The sequence below is a fragment of the Homo sapiens genome, chromosome 2 (assembly GCF_000001405.40).
Source record: "Homo sapiens chromosome 2, GRCh38.p14 Primary Assembly".
NCBI lineage: Eukaryota > Metazoa > Chordata > Mammalia > Primates > Hominidae > Homo > Homo sapiens.
The window spans coordinates 200,310,192-200,328,835 of NC_000002.12; the positions used below are offsets into that span (position 1 = coordinate 200,310,192).

General features: G+C 40.2%; 1 protein-coding gene across 12 annotated transcripts in view, besides 2 other annotated features; it reads left to right on the forward strand.

The window, feature by feature from the left end:
• Positions 1 to 18,644, forward strand: part of SPATS2L (spermatogenesis associated serine rich 2 like) — a 176,386-nt gene that overhangs the window by 4,313 nt on the left and 153,429 nt on the right. The window lies entirely within an intron of this gene.
• Positions 2,075 to 2,575: an enhancer, noted in NCBI's record as "H3K4me1 hESC enhancer chr2:201176989-201177489 (GRCh37/hg19 assembly coordinates)". NCBI's record gives its function as "activates a minimal SCP1, AML or CMV promoter by ChIP-STARR-seq in primed H9 embryonic stem cells {active_cell/tissue: H9 hESC(primed)}" and the evidence as "EXISTENCE:reporter gene assay evidence [ECO:0000049][PMID:30033119]".
• Positions 11,675 to 11,969: a silencer, noted in NCBI's record as "tiled region #2520; HepG2 Repressive DNase matched - State 5:Enh". NCBI's record gives its function as "represses a minimal TATA promoter and a strong SV40 promoter by Sharpr-MPRA in HepG2 cells {active_cell/tissue: HepG2}" and the evidence as "EXISTENCE:reporter gene assay evidence [ECO:0000049][PMID:27701403]".

The window sequence follows — 18,644 nt, forward strand, 5'->3', positions numbered from 1 at the left end:
ATAACAAACTTTTTGTATTCTCTCTAAACTTCTTCCTTTTATGATGAAAAGACTTTCCTTTCTTGATCCGTTTAGCATTCTCTTCATCACCCAGACTGGAGATGTAGGAACCATTGCTGACTCTTCGCTCTCTCACTGCCTCTGTGAAACTGTGTTATCAAGTCCTGTTAACTCTTCCTTTTTAATGGTTTCTCTGAGCCACCCCTGCATTTCGTTTTCATTCTTCACTCTCCCTGATCGGATGGGAGGCCGTCAGCCATCACCGTTTCTAGGATAATTATAGTCTACATCTTGGTCTCTCTGTAATTGAGTTTTCCCCATTCTACGCACTTCCACCGTATCAACCTTCCTAAAACTCTTCCCTCAAAACTCTTCAAGGATTGTTTCACAGGAACAATACTTTAGCATTGTTTAGTATTGCACCAGAGTGCAAATACTTTCCATGGCCTCCCCCATTGCCCAGCCTCTCAACTTGGTTTCAGTGTACCTCACAGTCTTGCCCCAAATTAACTTACCAATGTTATTTTCTACTTCTTTCCAACATGAACCTTCTGTTCCTACTAGTTGGATCTCACTGCCCTTCTAAGATGACATGCTCATTTTCATGTGTCCTTTTTTGTTCATGCCCTGCCTTTTAGAATGTGTCTCTTCTTTTTTTCTCTGACCTAACCACATTCTTCAAGTTCAAGTCAGCCTGCCCTGATCATGTTACTCTCATTGGTTCTTTCTGCCCTTTTGTTTGCATCGTTCCTCTAGACCATCACATCCTTTCTTACGCTGTTACATGCTTCTTTCTTTCTTTCTCAACTAGATAGTAAGGCACTGATGTGCCTTTTATTCTGTCTACCGGCCCTGGCCGTAAGAAGCACTTGATAAATACACCGATAAAATGAATAAATGTAAGGATGATTTTTTTTAAATCATGGGCTTTGATACTGACTCTGAACTGCTCACCATTGGGTCCTCAGAGCCTAACTCATAGCCTGACACATAGTCATGACCTCAATAAATATTTGTTAACTTAGAAATTCATGTTGACATTGGATAAAAGGGACAGGCATTTGAAGGAGGCGTCTGTCAAGATTTTTTTTTCCCATTTTTCTTCAGTAGTTCTAATCAGCTTCTCCATTCATCAACTGTGAGAATTCTGAGGACTCGGCATTTCCCAGAGTTGGGATAATGATGGAGTCTGGCAGTTGTGAGTTGGAATTAAGAAGCTTGTAGTTATTTTAAGGTGGAGTGATGGGCCCCAGTACTGAGCAAAAAAAGCATTGAGGCTTTATGCCAGTATTTTATACGTCAAACAATTAGGCTAAAGTTATCAGTTATATAAAAGTTCAGCTAATTGGCTCTAAAATTTCAGACTGTATTTATTGCAGGGCTGCTCAAGTTTTTCATTTAAAAGCATCCCTGTAAATTAGAAAAAAATACATCTGGGCACCCATCTGAGGGTGAAAGGTGATGTAGGGAAGAGTCTACCACATCCCATTGTATTCAGGACCGAATTTAATTGTTTAGTAAGCCTTATTTTGTACAAGGCACTGTTTCTGCTGGGAAGGAGTTTATAGCCTAGCAGGAAAAAATAACAGACGTATCCCAGAAACAAAGGTCTAGCAGAGCTCAGAAGGGAAAAAAATCTGTTGGGGAGTGGAGGGAATCTTCTTAGAATGACAGTTGTTTGAGGTGATTACTGAAAGGATTTGGATAAGATTTCAGTGTTATTGGGAATATAAGGATGGGGGAAGGGTGCTGTGAGTGAATTCCAGGGCCAATTTGTTGACTTTACATCAGCACTCTTATAGTACTCCTGCTTCTGAGGAGTTGAACCCAGCTAGGAGTCTTCTGAGCATTGGTGGGCTGCAGTGTTCAATAATGGAACCTAAAGGATATATAGATACCTGCAGTAATTACATGTGGTGCCAAGTGCTGAACTGACTATGACACAAAGCAAAAAATAAATCTTGGAAGCAGTATAACCAGTGTGTTCCTGGATAGCATCCAGCTCACTTAGAATGCTCAGAAAGGCCTCCTGCATTATGGAAATGCCACTGAAGGTTGACACTTTCACAGTAATGTAAATAATGAGAGGTGCACCCCAGATTGTGGTCCCAAGCAGCCAGCCATCTGTGGGACACTGCACAGTGCACCTAGCCGAGTTGAGTAAAGGTGTAAACACACTGTTATATAGAACCCTCATTCTGATTCTGTGGAACGGAGTCCCATGGTCTGTAAAGCTAGGACCAATGGGAATGTTTGAGGAATACAGATTTTGGGTCAATAGATGGAAAGTTGCCCCATTATGGATTGTGCTATTTCAGGAGGTAATAGGCCCCCATCACTAAACATATATAAGCATCGCCTATACCAGGCAATATCTTATTTAATTATATACATTCTCTCCTTTATTCTCAAAACAGTGCTATGAAGTACATGCTCCTATTACTCCAGTTTTACTGAAGAGCAAAACTGAAGCCTAGAAAGGTTGAGTAGCTAGTAATTTGTAGAGCTGGTATAAAGCCCAGGCAGTTTGCGGGCAGAAACTGCATATGCACTGAGATGAAGAAAGGATGCAAACATTAGGTGGCCATATGGATTTTCAAGATTCCTTCCTAACACTAGGATTAATACTTTAATTCACCTTAGGGATCAAGATGCTAGCTGTTGCAAAGTACTAGTTCATTATCAGCACCCAGTTCCTAGAGATTCAGAACAAAGTGAATACAGTCATCATCATCATAGTTATCACTTATTGATCATTTTATTTAAACCTCAAAGGAATCTTGGAAGGTAAGGATTATACACCCTTATTGGACAGTGAAACTGAAGCTCAGGGAAGTTACATAACTTGATTGAGTCTGCAGAGTTGATAAGTGGCAGATGAATCTGGTGTCTGACACCCAGGCCCTGCTTTTTCTTATACCACCCTGTGAGGTAACACATGGTGACACTGAAAATATTTACCTATCGGTCTGCACAGAAACCAACAAGTCAGAGCTGTCAGCAACGCCTGTGGCTCTGCAGGTGATGAGTATCACCTGAAGTGATATTTAGGAGCAGTTTGAAGGTGTGTGAAAGGCTTGGTAATCTACCAAGACCACAGATCTGGAGCTCTAGTGACTTCTTCCCATGCTCAGCATTTATTTTATTTTATACATGATAAGTAGTACTATTAAAGAGAGAGAAAGCCTTCACGGATAACTATTATTACATTTATATTTCTAATTAAGGAAAAATGTTTTGCAGTGGTAATCTGTGTCCCTTATAAATGGCAGGCTCTCTTCCCACTCCTTGTCTTCCTTTCCCTTATTCCAGTCTGATGCTAATCCCTCTTGCTTCCTCAGGGACCTTGCTTCATTGTCTTTTCTTCAGGGTCTCAATGATCCTTTTCTTTCAACATATAAACATGCATAAGTCTTTCATATTCTTTATGAAAACAGAAAACGATGAACGCTTTTGGTCGCTTCTCTCTAGGTTTGGGTGTGTTTCATCTTATTCCTGGTCTTAGCAGGCAGCTCCTTGAAGTACAGGTCCTCGTACACATCCCGCACCTCGCCATCTTCCTTTCATCTTCAACCCCCTGCACTCCTGTCCTCTCCTAATGACCACCAGGTCCATTATCTAGGATTCTCTTTCATTTCTTGAACTTTGCACAACATTTGGTGTTCTTGACCACTCTCTGCTCCTTAAAATGTTGCCCACCTGTTTTCTGAGTTATCCATTTCTCCTCATTTTCTTTCTTGTCCAGCTGCTCTATATTTGGACTTCTCTTTACTGTCCTCCCTTCCTCTCAAACCTTAGCCTCCCCTACAGTTCAGCCCTCAGCCCTCTGCTCATTCTGCACGTTTGCCCTGTGGCAGCTCATCTTCTGTTTTCTTCTACTACCACCTATATGCCATTGATTCCATTGTAAATCTGCATCTCCAGCCTTGAAATCTTATCTGACATGTGTTCCAAATGTCTTTAACTCGACAAGTTCAAAACATCACTTCCCCAACTTCAATCCAGCATACTCCTTCTGTGTTTTCTATCTCAATGAATGAAACCTGCTTCACCAAGTTTAAAACCCAGGACAACTTCTTTGCCTTCTTCAACCTCTACATTTTATATAGAGACTGTCTTTTCAGACTCTCTTGAATCTGCTCTTTCCTCCCTGTATCATAACCTTCATTACTGCCGTGGTTCGGGCCCTCATCCCTTCTCTTGAGGATTATTGCAGTAGCCTCGCAACTGGTCTCTCTGGCTTCTGCCTGGCCTGTCTCCAATTTGTTCCTCATACTGCTGCCTTTCTAAAAGGCAAATCTGATTACAACTCTCCACTGCTTAAAATCCTTCAGAGGAGTTTCTGCATCTTCAGGTTAAAATGTAAGCTCCCTGGCATGGCACGAAAGCTTCTTTGTGATCTGGGCCTTCCCTTCAGGTGTGTGTCAGTCTCCTCTAATGATCCTGGTCCCCACTGTCTGCCCCTGCCCGTAGCATCTCCACTAAAGGAAAGAAATGATAGGAGGGATGGGAATAGAGGCGAGATGATAGACCTGCTGTTCAGTACTGTAGCCACTAGCTACATGTGGCTGTTGGGCACTGGAAATACAGCTAGTCCAAGTTGAGATGTGCGTAAGTGTAAAATACACCATGCTTTGAGACTATATAAAAAAATGTAAAATTTCTTATTTAACAAATTGTAATATTGGTTACATGTTGAAACAGCAATAGTTTTGATATAGTAGGTTAAACAAAATATATTACTAAAATTAATTTCACATATTTCTTTTTATTTTTAAAAATGTGATTACTTAGTGGACGTTACCATGCGACATAAAGAAATAATAAAATAAAATGTGATTACTAGAAAATTAAACATCACCTGTGTGCTCACATTATAGTTCTGTTGGACAGCATTGTTAGGGAACATCTCATTCCCAGGAGATGCATCCTGTACGAGCCAAGCCCACGAGCTTTTTGAATGATTAAGTCAGCCCTATTGGCATAGAGAAGTAGCAGTTGCTCAGTTTTTTCAGTCCAGAGGTATGAAATGTTTGGATAAGATTCAGAATTGGAGAGACAGCTTCTGAACGCTATAGCCAGGAGTTACATGTACAATGGGCATAGTGTGGAAAGCACTATTAAAGCACATCTGTCTCAGCAGGCCCACCCAGCCATCATCAGAAGTGGGAGGCAGGAATTCTCGTGGTATGGTAGAGGAAGGATTTGAGGTAGACAGGAGGAACAAGGGAAGGGAAAGTGGAATCACATTCCCTGGAAGCCTCCTATTTGTGAGGCACCAGCTGAAACCCTGAGAGCCAGGTCTCTGAGATTCCCCATCCTGCCGTTGATTCTTCCTAGTGGGCTAAGTCCCAACTCCCCTACTGTCTGGCTGTAGGATCCTGAACAAATTAATGAATCAACGAATCTGGAGTCCGAATATTATGCACACCATACAGTCATAATGTGTCAAACAAAATGATGTGACCCACACTGATAAGGGCTCTACAGAAGTTAGTTATGCCTTAAGACACTGAGGGCAGTAATCTGTGGATGAGTTGGCCTGAAGGGCTTTGAGGGAAGGGCATACGGACTGTCAGAAAGACCTGGAAGATAGCACCTGTTGCCTTAAGAGATATGCAGAGCTTCTGGCTAACACGGTGAAACCCCGTCTCACCAAAAATCCAAAAAAAAAAAAAAAAAAAAGAGCCTGGCATGGTGGTGGGCACCTGCAGTCCCAGCTACTCGGGAGGCTGAGGCAGGAGAATGGCGTGAACCTGGGAGGCAGAGCTTGCAGTGAGGGGAGATCGTGCCACTGCACTCCAGCCTGGGAGACAGTGTGAGACTCCATCTCAAAAAAAAAAAAAAAAAAAAAGAGATATGCAGAGCTTTATGTGTTCACGATGGAAAAGCCAACCTGTGATAGGAAACCAGATCTTACCAGGTTGGATCAGGAAGGGGAACCCTCCTGGAAGAGGTGATGGGAAGAAACTGTGACTATAAAGAGAACAGTCCAGTGGGATTAGATTCCAGTGAAATCTGATAGGCAGTGTGACTCAGTGTCTTCTCTAGTGGTGGTTTGCCTGCTGTAGTCTGTTGGACTCTTAAATTCTGAGAACTTCCTCTCTTGGTTTCAACCTGGGCGGCTGTTTTTATTTGCTTCATGAGTAGGCATTTTGTATAAGATTTTGTTAGGGGCAAAGGTTCTTGTGCTAAAAACAGAAGTTTGAAAGTCCTACATTATAGAAAATGGCCTGAGAGGAGTGGTAACTACCTTGATGTGATTATTTCTCCCTCATTCGCAGGATCTAGGACCAGTTTAGGCCCTTTCCAGAGGGCATACAGCTTCCTTTCATCTGAGGCTTAGCGACTTCGCGGACCAACCATGCAGTTTGCCTTGTCCAGGTAGTTTAGCCAGGTAGCCATAACTCAGTCTTGTTCTTGGGTAAACAAGTTTTCACTTTTGTACTGGGTTCCACCTTGTCTCCTGCATTCCCAAGTCCTGGATTTGTGTTCTTGTGGAGGGACCCCAAGTTGTCTTAGTTAAGGATCCTGTCATGTTTCTCCAAGCCTTCTTGGGACAGTAGTGTCCCTAGGGTTGGGCCACTGCTACTCCCTTCTAGGCCTCTTTAGTACTGAGAACTACCAGCAAGGGTCAGGAAACTTGATAGATATTTAGAATTGAATAATTTGCCTGGAGCTTGGCTTTTCCCTGGCTCCAGACCCCTGAGAGCAAATATTCTTGCTAGTTTGCAGTCCCGCTGGTCTCTGAGTCCCATTTGTACAACTTGGAAGGAGAAAGGAAGACAGATATAGGGCTGATTTTCTTAAATTATGGTGCATTCATATCTTTGTCTCTAGTGGGAAGGTTGGTCTTATGTGTGTATGAGAAAGGTGGCCGCCTTTATGTTGTGGTTTCAGAATCCATACTGCTGAAAAGGGCACTTCAAATATCAAGTTTCTCTTTTTTGCTCTCCAATATGTGAAAGCCTACGTTATAAAAACTCTATTTAGTTTCCTATGACCAGTATGATTTAGAAGAAAAAGAGGACGGGCTTTGGCACTTGAAAGACCTGATTTTGAGTCATGCCATTGCTGGCTATATGAATTTGAGCAAGTTATTTAATCTTTCTGGACCCCAGTTTTCTCATGTATGAAGCAAAGTGAGTAACGCCTACAATTCTGTTATGATTTTGTTGTGACTAAATAAGATAAAATATAAAGTGCCTGGCACCAGGGCCTAAAATGCAAATGCTATGGAGGTGGTAAGTCAAACTTATCCTCATATCTCAGTATATCTCAATTCACCCTCCTTATGTTGAATAATTTTATAGACCTTTCCCTGAGACTGATCAGGAAGAGGATATGAAATCTGGGGCAAGGGGCCCAGATTTTACCCAGCCAAGGGTGACAAAGGACCAGAAGGAAGTTGCCTTCACATTTTGCCTAAGTCCCATTCTCCCTATGCTTTGCATTTGTGAAAATATTCATCTGAGATTATAGGTACAGCATGAAGCCTTGGAAAAAAGGCATGTTTACATCCTCTGCCAGGATAGCATAACAATTAACAAAGCAGGTTTTTGAATCTCTGAATAGTCAGGTGCACTGCCATCAAAATAAACTTTTATTTCTATTCTTTGCTGATAGATTACAAATAAAGCCACTAAAATATCCTGAAAAAGAAGATTTATATATGAATTGGACACCAGGGACAGATTTTTCACACTTATTTTGTTGGAGCAGTTTTTTCCTTAGCTGTGGGTGTTTGGGAAGTTCTTTTGTTGTAGCTTTTGTTGCTTACAAGAGGGAAAAAGCTTTAGTATGCTAAGGTAAGAATGATTTTGATTGGAGGCAATATTGTTCTCAGTGTGGGCTGACTTTCACGTATTGTAGTGATTACCAGTACATAACTGAGAAAACCCATTTGTTGAAGTGCTGTAAACAGCAGAGAGTCTGATCTCACATACTGCCCTGATCGACAAGTGTTTATTGTAGGAATGTGGTCAGTCCTGTAATTTTTTAAGGGAAAAGGGGAAGATGTTATGCCAGTCACTGTGATTGCAAATGCCCTGATCTGGCAGGTCTTTTTCCTTTCTCGTTTATTTCTCCTGTGGAATCTGAATGGTGGATTCAGTACATGTACTGAGCTTCCAGTGACTTGGTCAGCTCTTGATGCAATTGATCACACCACTGTAATTCCATACCCTCAATTTTAGTGCCATATCAAAATCATGAACACTCAAGGAGACCATGTAAATCTACGTCCTCAAAAATTAGAAATAATGGCATTAAAAATGTTATTTAGTGCTGGTTTGTAGCACTGAATATATGAACTCATTCATTGTTCTGGTACTCCCTGAACAAGAACTGTTTCGGTTGCAGTGGATGATATCAACTAAGGTTTCCATGGCAGCACTAATTTATAATATGAAAACTTTTGTGGAATTTCACCTTCTGGACTCTTCTCGATTGCATTTAAATTTACATTTTCCCCTCATTTATTAAGGTGAGGCATATTTAGATATTACTTACATGTGTGTACTAGGAGTATCTTCATGAAACTCAGTGATAAGAAATTACACGTGTAGAAAGCAGACAATGGAAACGGAAAATGGATACTGTGGTCTAACATCTCACCAAATGCAGGAATTCTTTCCACATTATCCCAGTTGCCATTTGAACCAGCCAGGAACGAGGAGTTTGGTCAACATTTTATGAAGCCAAATAATGCTAATGACAGTAGTCTGCAGTGCTCCGGACCCTAAGCCCATTTCGATTTGGACTTCATGTTATTTGTGATTGGACCAATACTCCATCAAGCACAGGTGGACACAGATATTTGTAAAACCTCTTCCCCAGTGGTGCACTGAAACCTGCCTCCCTGCAGCTTCCCTGTTGGTCTTCCATCCGCCCTTTGAATGCCACAGAATAAATATGCACCTTCTGTGTGGTCGCTCTTCAAATATTTGACCATAGCTATTGTATCTCCTCCTCGAAGTCTTCTCCTTTCAGGGTTATGCAGTGCTAGTTCTCTTAACTGATAGTTCTCATCCTGTTAACATTCCTCTAGGCACCCACTACTCTATCAATGCCATCTTAAAAATAGTGCATCTGGCCGGATGTTATGGCTCACGCCTGTAATCCCAGCATTTTGAAGGCCGAGGTGGGCGTATCACTTGAGGTCAGGAGTTTGAGACCAGCCTGGCCAACATGGCAAAACCCCGTATCTACTAAAAATACAAAAATTAGCTGAGCATGGTGGCGTATGCCTGTAATCCCAGCTACTCAGGAGGCTGAGGCAGGAAAATTGCTTGAACCCCAAAGGTGGAGGTTGCAGTGAGCCAAGATTGCGCCACTGCACTCCAGCCTAGGTGACAGAGCGAGACCCCACCTCAAAAAAAAAAAAAAAAAAAAAAAAGCATCTTGAATGCAACAGCCTACTCCTGACTGAGTATTCTGAACAGTAGAAAACACCAGGCTGCTATTCACTCCCTTGATCAGGGCACTCTTTTATTAATCTAGTCAAATATTGTGTGGGCCTCACATGTAAATCAGGAACAGCACATTGTTTGTTCACATACGAAGCTAAAGAAAACTTCCAAGCCTTTTTTCCTAACAACTGCTACAAAGCCAGGTCTCCTTTGTTCTTTACTTGAGCAGTGAATCATGTGTGCCTACTTAGAGGACTTTACATACATTTATCCTTCTACATTTTGTCTCTTTTTGTTAAATTATTTTTCCTCTTTATCAAGACAGCTTTGAATTCTAAAATTTTTAAATTCGATATATTAATGATGTTAGACTCTTACTTATTTATCAATTGCACACTTGGAAATGTTACTTTGTCGTTGATAAAATGTTGACCAAGACAGGCCAAAGATAGGGCCCTGTGACATTCTGCAAGAGAATTATTAACATCAGTATGTGAATTTTTTTTTTAAACTAGCTTGACAGTCTTTCACTTGTTTACTTTGTTATCCAAGAGCATAGAGTCAGGGAAAGACTTAGTCAAATGCTTTAGTAATGAGATCATTATTGGTCTACTTATTGCCACACAGTAGAACTCTATGATAAAGAATAAGATTCATGAGAGTAATTTTTAGATTGCATTAATTTTTCTTCTGAAAAATTTCTTGAAAAAGCATATCTAAGTCACCTTATTTTTAATGTATCTAAGAGAAAATAATTTTGTAAAATAAAATCAAACTTCACCTATCATTTCAACTCATGAACTTGTTTGGTTCAAAGGAATTGCTATGTAATACATCATTCTATTCTCTTTACAGAATCATTACTCTTAAAGAGAATTGGTGGGGTGACAGGAAATTACTCCATAGGTGTCACTCCAGCACATCATGATATTCTCATCTCCTGGGACAGAGTCGTCAGGCTGAGGCATGTCCTAACAGTGTGCCAGCCTGTGTAGATGGCTCCATGACAGTATCAGTAACGTGACCATGACAGAGAGAGCTCTGATGGCATTGTGTCACTAATGGATGTGTTTTCACTAAGCTGAAAATTCTGTATTATTTGAAAAGAGGTTTATTTTTCTTCCCACACAAATTATTTGACTCTCATATTAATGTCAAATAGCTGTCAAGTAACACATATGGTGCTTTCTGTGCTATATTTTATTGTACTCATGTACAAAATAGTTTTTTTAAAAACATGTTCTCTGCCTTGGACTAGATAGAAAAAATAATTTAAAAGAATAGTATTCTTAAGAAACACAAATCTATAATATATCAAGGAATAAATGAGTGCTTCATAAAAATACTAGTATTTGTGTCTATATTTTTCAGAGTACTTTCATGCATTTTCTTTTTTGAAAAAAAATCTGATGTTAAAAATAATACATACTCTTTGAATTTGGAAGCTACTGAAATGGATAAAAAATTAAAAGTCAGCTCAAATTCCACCTCTCAGAGATTGTCACTGTTAGCATTTGGTGTTTCCCTTTCAGATGTGCATTTGTGTGAGGTTGTGAGTGTGTGTGCATGTGTATATTTGTGTGTTTTAAACTAGCTCTTGGTGGACCCAGGACGTTTGTACAGAAGAATCAGCATGACATAGTCGGTAAAGAGCTTTGGAATCAGGCACTTGGAGATTTCAGCTCTGGCTATACAACTTACGTAGTGACTATGAATTCCTTAAACTCTCTAAACCTTAATTTCTACTTCTATAAAATGAGGATAATAATACTATATACCTAGTAAGTTTATTGTAAAAATTAATAAGATAATGCAGATAAAGTACATAGCATGGTTCTTGGACCATAGCATATGCTCAGCAAATGTGAACTATTTTTATTATGCAGGTTTTCTTTTCTGCTTTCTTCACTTAAATTATAGGGTAAAAATTTCCTTGTCATAAAATATTATTTGAAAAATATTTAGAATGACTGCATAAATTTCAGTATATGAATGTGCTTTAATGTTATTCTATGGATAAACAATTTTTAATTTATTGTGATCACAAAGAACACCACAGCTGATATCGTTTACATTATGTTTTGTGAATAGACAACAAATTCAAAGTGAATTACTAATCGCATTTTATGGAGAGGCAGAAAAAAACTTACAGTTCTTTAGTGTCTATTAATGTTCCAGGTTATATGCTATGTTCTTTACAATAAAATTCTCTTTAACTTTCACATCCCCTTTGAGGTAAGTCTGTTACGCCCATTTTTCAGATGACAGAGCTCTGAGGGGAGATAAGTCATTCGCTCAAGGTCACAGAGAGATAGTGGTGGTAGAGATGGTGTTTGAAGCCAGCGTCAGATTTCAAAGCTTATGCTTTTTCCATTCTGGCATGTAGTTCATGCCTATCTTTTTGAGGCTTGCAGAATGAATAGTTAGCATTGTGCCTTCTACAAAATGTCACTTGGTGCCACATGAAAGATAGGATACTTGGCTGGAATGCTTGACTTACTCAATATAGTACCTCTTGCGTGTGTGTATTCTTATATGTTTTGGAATCAAGCCTCATTAAAATAAGGTGTTAACTAAAGGAAATGAAGCATTGATATGATTATTTGATGAAAGGAAACCTCAAGGAAGAAAATATTCATTGAGTTGATAATATGAAACTCTTCTTTGTTTTAGTTGTACGGACTAAGCCAGAATCACTTATCTCCCCAGGAATCAGGGTATTTCACATAAGTCAGTTTAGGAATTAAGCAATAACAACAGCCAAAGTAAATTGATGCTGTCAAAGGAATTGTATGTTTCATTACTTGTATATCAGGGGTTGAATGTAAAAAAATACCTCTTTAGCCTTTGCTGTAAGCTGATACATCAGGAAAGAGCTGTAATAATTGCTATAGGTATAAGTATAGGTATACGAGAGACAAAGTATACTAGGATAAGCCCTCAAAGAATTATTTGGTGAACTGACAAGTTGTCTTTAAAAAGTCAGCCATTCGGAACATTTCTCTTGGCAGCTCTCAAATCTGACTTACAGTGTGTACTGTGGCAGCCAATTTTGTAGGAAAAATGCATAATTAATGTGAAGATCAAGGTACAGGTATTGCCAGTCAGTACCTAACACACAGTTTCTTAGAACAAAGGAGCAATTGAAGTTGTCTTTTGATAGGGTAATCCTGATTTGTCATTTTGTGGGTTTCAATTCTTAGTAAAAATGGGGGAAAAAACCCAACTCTAGGAGTAATATTTCATATCTGAGAGGTACTTTGTTGCAGAGTTTATAACCAACTGTTGTCTAGTCAAGAAAGCTATCTTTGGTTTTTGAGATCTCGAATTTTTATAGCCTTTGAGCTTGCTCATTTTTGTCTTAGGATTATTCTGGTTTCCCTCCAGTCATTTTAGTTTTTGCAAGGGAGAAACAGTATCACTTATGGACCCAAGGCCAAAAAGGCTTCAAATCTCGACAGAACATGACCACCAACTTGGCATGTTGGTACTAGCAAGTTAAATTTGAACTTACTATGCAACTAGTGAATAGTTAGAACTGTGAACAGAGAATTAGCTATGGGATCTGCAGGTTGGATTTACAGCATGGCTCCATTGTGTGGTAGCTGTCTACCCCTGGGCAAACAGCTTTCCTATCCCTGAGAGTCCTCAGCTCTCAAATGGAGATAATGACTACTATATAGTCAGAGATCATTTGGAGGGTCAGATGTATTGAGCAAACCATTGGTTCACCCAAAAGTTTGCTTATGATTTGTTTCTAGGTGATTAATAATGGCTTGAGCCATTATACCATTTAAAATATTTAATGAGAATATTTTAAATATTCTCATGAGCCAATATACCATTTAAAATATTTTCAAATGAAGTATGGGAATATTTGTAAGATAAATGTAGAAATATATAACTCCTGGGGCTAACCTCACCAGACCCTTCTAACTCTTTGCTTAGACTTTATCCAGTAATAATGGGACAGGCCCTTTTACTGCCCTGGAAACCCCTGGTGCCTAGCTTAGAGTCTCTCAGAGTTTGGATGCTCACACCCAGGGCATATTCCTCTAATGAGGGAAGGGGGCCTTTTGACTTCAATAGGTGGTTCCTTTGATCACAGTAAAGACCTTTATAGAAATAGGCATTTAGATCTATTATGTTGTTCTAAGATAGAAACAAAACTGGTATTTGATGTGTATTTTACTCTTCAATAAGAAAGGCTCAGAGAAAAAGACTATAAGGTAGAAAAAAGATTTCAGAAGATTGCATTACAGAAAATTATAGGCAACTCTTTTATTATTAAAGTAATGCAAGTGCTGGAGGGGACAGGAAAGGGAACGGGAATTTGGGAACTTTGACACTGGGTAGCATCCGTGCAGAGGTTTTTGGAGGTCTCTCTTGGTTCTTCCCCCCAGTTCTGGTGATGTAGTGAAGGGCTCAGAAACTGCTTCTGGGTCTGACTGCAAGAGAGTAAATCCCAACCCTGGGGCTGCACTGACTCCCTTATCCTGGGCGGCTATGTTCTGACCTCCTTGGCTTTTATGGCCTCCCATACAGTCACTGTGGATCGCCCTTTATCTTAGTCCCTTAAGACAACAGGATTTGCTCATTGACCACCCTTGCTTGGACTATACTGTAGGACCTTGAAGGTGTTTCAGGCAATTAATGATTGAAATGTCTCTGTGGAGTTCCTGAGGGATGTAAGTGTGTGAGCTAAGTGCTGGACATTTTAGACAAACCTCTGTGACTGCTTTGCAGTAGAGAGCCCACCCAAGGCCCACTGGTCCCAGGACTCTCTGAGCATGCCAGGTGGTGAGGGTCAACCTGCTTGCTATTCTCATTTGGAATCAATTTCTAAATTTTATTTCTCCTTCGACACAGGGAACTATTCTGAATTTCCCTTCTTTGCTTTGGTACCAAAGCTTTCATTGAGCTCATCAGCTATTTCCTGAGTGTCTCCTCTGCACCAGGCACTGTGAGAGGAACAAAGGGAAATCAGGTCTTGAAAGGAAAGAATGTGCATGCCTTAGGTAAGAAGCAAGATGTGTCTCCAGAGTTGAGAGAAGGGAGAACTGAAGATGCAGTGAATTTTTTTCTGTTGTACTTTCTATACAATAAATTTTACTTCATAAAAATCTATACTAATATCCATTTGTGTGGCAAATTCCATTATAATGAAAATCTCTGTTATCCAGCAACTTAGGCAAGTATCAGCAGAGCACAATTTCAATACAGCAGAAGACTTTGGAGAGTCCCTTGGAGTGAGCTGAAATGGGATTTGACCTATATATTAAGCTTTTCATGGTTTTGATATTTTTCATTTCCATGTGTCAACAAATACCCGACTTGATATTAAAGCCAGTTAAATCAATATTTCTTGCTGTAGTCAAGGTACAGCAACATATATCCAAGGGCAACAACTCCCCAACAGCCATATTTTGTTGAGAATATATATTTTATCATAAACCTGATTGAACTACCTTCAGAGGAAAAGGATGAAAACATCAACATAGCTATCATAAAAAAAGAAAAGCCAGGGAATCTATAATCTTGTACCTTACCCCTCATTTAAACAATTCCATAATTTATTTTGCTTTCTTTAATCATAAGGAATGACAACATGGAAAATATTTTTATTGTGATAGCTGTGGTTTCTTTCTCTATCCTCAAATAGAGCTGCTTTAATCCTTCTCCCAAATTCCGTCCCATTCAAAGGATTTTTGAGCAGGTACATGTGAGCAAAGTGGCAGGTACAGCTGAATCCAAGATTCTTGGACTGTAGGAATCTTTTTATTTATTTATTTTTTTAGACAGAGTCTCACTCTGTTACCTAGGCTGGAGTGCAGTGGTGCCATCTTGGCTCACTGCAACCTCTGCCTCCCGGGTTCAAGTAATTCTGCTGCCTCAGCCTCCCGAGTAGTTGGGACTACAGGTGCACACCACCACGCCTGGCTAATTTTTGTATTTTTAGTAGAGATGGGGTTTCATCATGTTGGCCAGGCTGGTCTTGAATTCCTGGCCCCAAGTGATCTGCCTGCCTTAGCCTCCCAAAGTGCTGGGATTTCAGGTGTGAGCCACCGCCCTGGCCAGACTGTAGGAATCTAATAATCAAATAATTGTAATGGGAAGGAGAGTGGAGTAGAAGCCCATTTCTACTTACTCTTTCTCTGAAGTTTTAACTGTTTGACAATTTCTGGAAGTCACCTATTACAAACTCAGTATTTCTATAAACAAATAGTCTGATGCATCAGTTTATAAACACCAACACATTTATTTACTATGTGTTATCAGAAAAGCCTCACTTATCTTCCTTGTGTTCTTTGACTAGGTGAGTACTTAACCATTTATTGGGCTCCTACTCTGTGCTAAGCACTTAAAATATTTCACCTCTCACAGGCAAAATGATGCTCAAGGCACATGCTATTGTTTATATTTTCCAGATAAACATGAGACTTCAGCTGCTAAGTAACTTATCAAAGGGCACCCAGGTAGAAAGGGTGTAGTCTGAGGTTTGAACCCAAGTTTGTCTGATTCCAGAGCCTTTTCACTTTTTTAGAGATGGGGTCTTGGGCTCTTCACAGATGCAATCATAGCACATAATAGCCTTGAACTCTGGGCTAAAGCTATCTTCTTGCCTCAGCCTCCCAGGTAGCTGGAGCTACAAGGGCTTGCCACCATGCCCAACTCCTTTTCACTTTTTTAAGGCTGTTTTCCATAATATATTCTGAGATTGAAAACAAAAATTCAGATTGTTAAAGTAGTACATACTCACTATAGAAAATTTAGAAAGCAGAGAAAATTATTAAAAAGAAGAAAAATTACCAATAATCCTTCACCCTAGGGATTATCACTACTGAAATTTCAATCGTTTTTCTCTCTAGGCTTAAGAAAGCTATTTATCCAAATGAGCATTTTTCCTCAAAGTTGTCCTCTTTGAGGAAAGATGTCCTCTTTGAGGTTTATGCATGTATTCCAACAATGTTGCCATTGCATAAAATAATTGTGGAATCCCTTTCAGAGCCAGTTTAGGAACCAACTTTTCTATAGACTCCCAAGCACAGGTTACTTTGGTAGAAACATAGTAAAGACAGTATATCTGCTACCTGAAAACCTATCAGAATAATGCATGATATGTTTGAGCATTCTTTTTTTTTTCGAGACGGAGTCTTGCTCTGTCACCCAGGCTAGAGTGCAGTGGTACAATCTCGGCTTACTGCAACCTGCAGCCTCTGCCTTCCCAGTTCAAGCGATTCTCCTGCCTCAGCCTCCCAAGTAGCTGGGATTACAGGCGTGTGCCACCATGCCCGGCTAATTTTTTTTTTTTTTTTTTTTTTTTTAGCAGAGTTGGGGTTTTGCCATGTTGGCCAGGCTGGTCATGAACTCCTGACCTCAGGTGATCCACCTGCCTCGGCCTCCCAAAATGCTAGGATTACAGGTGTGAGTCACCATGTCCGGCCCTGTTTGGCCATCCTGTACCTTCTGAAATCCTATGCTGCAAATATTTAACCATCCTATTAAAAATGCCATCATTGAGCCAGGCGTGGTGGCTTACACCTGTAATCCCACCACTTTGGGAGGCCGAGGAGGGCAGATCTCTTGAGGTCAGGAGTTTGAGACTACCCTGGCCAACATGGTGAAACCCCATCTCTATTAAAAATACCAAAATTAGCCCAGTGTGGTGGCATGCACCTGTAATCCCAGCTACTTGAGAGGCCAAGGCAGGAGAATCACTTGAACCTGGGAGGCGGAGGTTGCAGTGAGCCAAGATCATGCCACTGCACTCCAGCCTGGGTGACAGAGCGAGACTCCGTCTCAAAAAAAAAAAGCTATCATTGCCCTCTCTTGAGTTGTAAATATCTTGTGCTGACTTCTATTGTAGTGGCAGATGGAATTTACCAAAGTGCTGCTTCTTTCCATGTCAAAGATTGATGGATATTTTGGGGAATGTCTAAAAGTCTTTATTAAAAATTTAATCCATAAATGTTTAATATCTCATTTGACAACTCATGTTATTTATTGCTTTGTCAACACAACAATGTTTGCCTTTTGTGGGGCATAAAGAAAATTAGAAAATTGTTTTTGTCAAAAGTGTGAAAAGCATATTTTAAAATCAATTCCTTTTTAATGGAAGTATTACACTCACTAAATTATTACCCTCCAAGGAGTTTTTGTGAAAGCAAATGTATCTAGGTGAGATGAACTGATCTTTATATAAAGTCAGTTGCATTTATGTAGAAGTAAATGTTTCCCGTAGAAGCAGGCGTGTGCGGGCACACACACACACACACACATACACACGCAAACAAAAGATTTCTGTCAAAATAGCCATTGGTATACTTTATTAAAGAAAGTCAATTAAGTACCAGCTGAGTTCTTGTCACTTCGGTTTGTTGCATACAACACTACTAACTTGTAGAAAACAAATCTAACTTCCACCCAAGCATCCCATTGGTTTTCTTGTTTCTGCCTTATTTTTCACAGACATTCTTACCCTCCCCATCTGCTTAGCATGACACCCTACCCCTTCCCAGTCTGCTGGACACTTGGGGCACGTGGATCCTGGGTGTTAGACTGGTACAGATTGGGACAGACCAAGTGTGTACAGTTGTCCTCAGGGCTGCATTCTTCCCTTGTCTTCTGGTTGCCAAGATTTCATAGGATGAGAATTCACCATGCTTATGGAGGTCATTACAAAGTGTAGGCTGTGTCCTGTGTTATATCTTTGGCATTATTCATGGTGCCTAACATTGTGTTCAGTCAATGTTTGTTGGCTAAATGAAGGGTTATATTTTTTCAAAACTGGACTGGTAGGGAGAAAAAGTTAGTCCAAAAGAAAGTCACAGTTGTAAAGTAGAATCTCAGGGCTTAAAGTCTTTAGGTCAATCCTCTTATTTAAAGATTAAGCCCAGAGAGGTCAGCTGGCTTGGAGAAGGTCACCCAGAGAGTTGGTGCCAGAGCCAGGAACAGCATCTCGTGTCCTGAGGCCCCGTCCCCTTCTTTCCAGTGCCTCCCTCGCGGTTGTTCTCCAGTCATTTTGTGGAGGTCAATCTTCTGAGTCTCGTAGGACCAGTTAGCGGAGCATTTGAATCCCCACACAGTACTCAGCAGAGCATTAGAGACATAGGCATTATTAAGAAATATGTGAAGTGATGGGTGACCGAGTGAGTGATTGATTGGTTGACTTACGACCTTGGCACCCATCTTTCCACCTAAGTGGTTACTGGTTGAATGGTGAGTTCTTTGGGA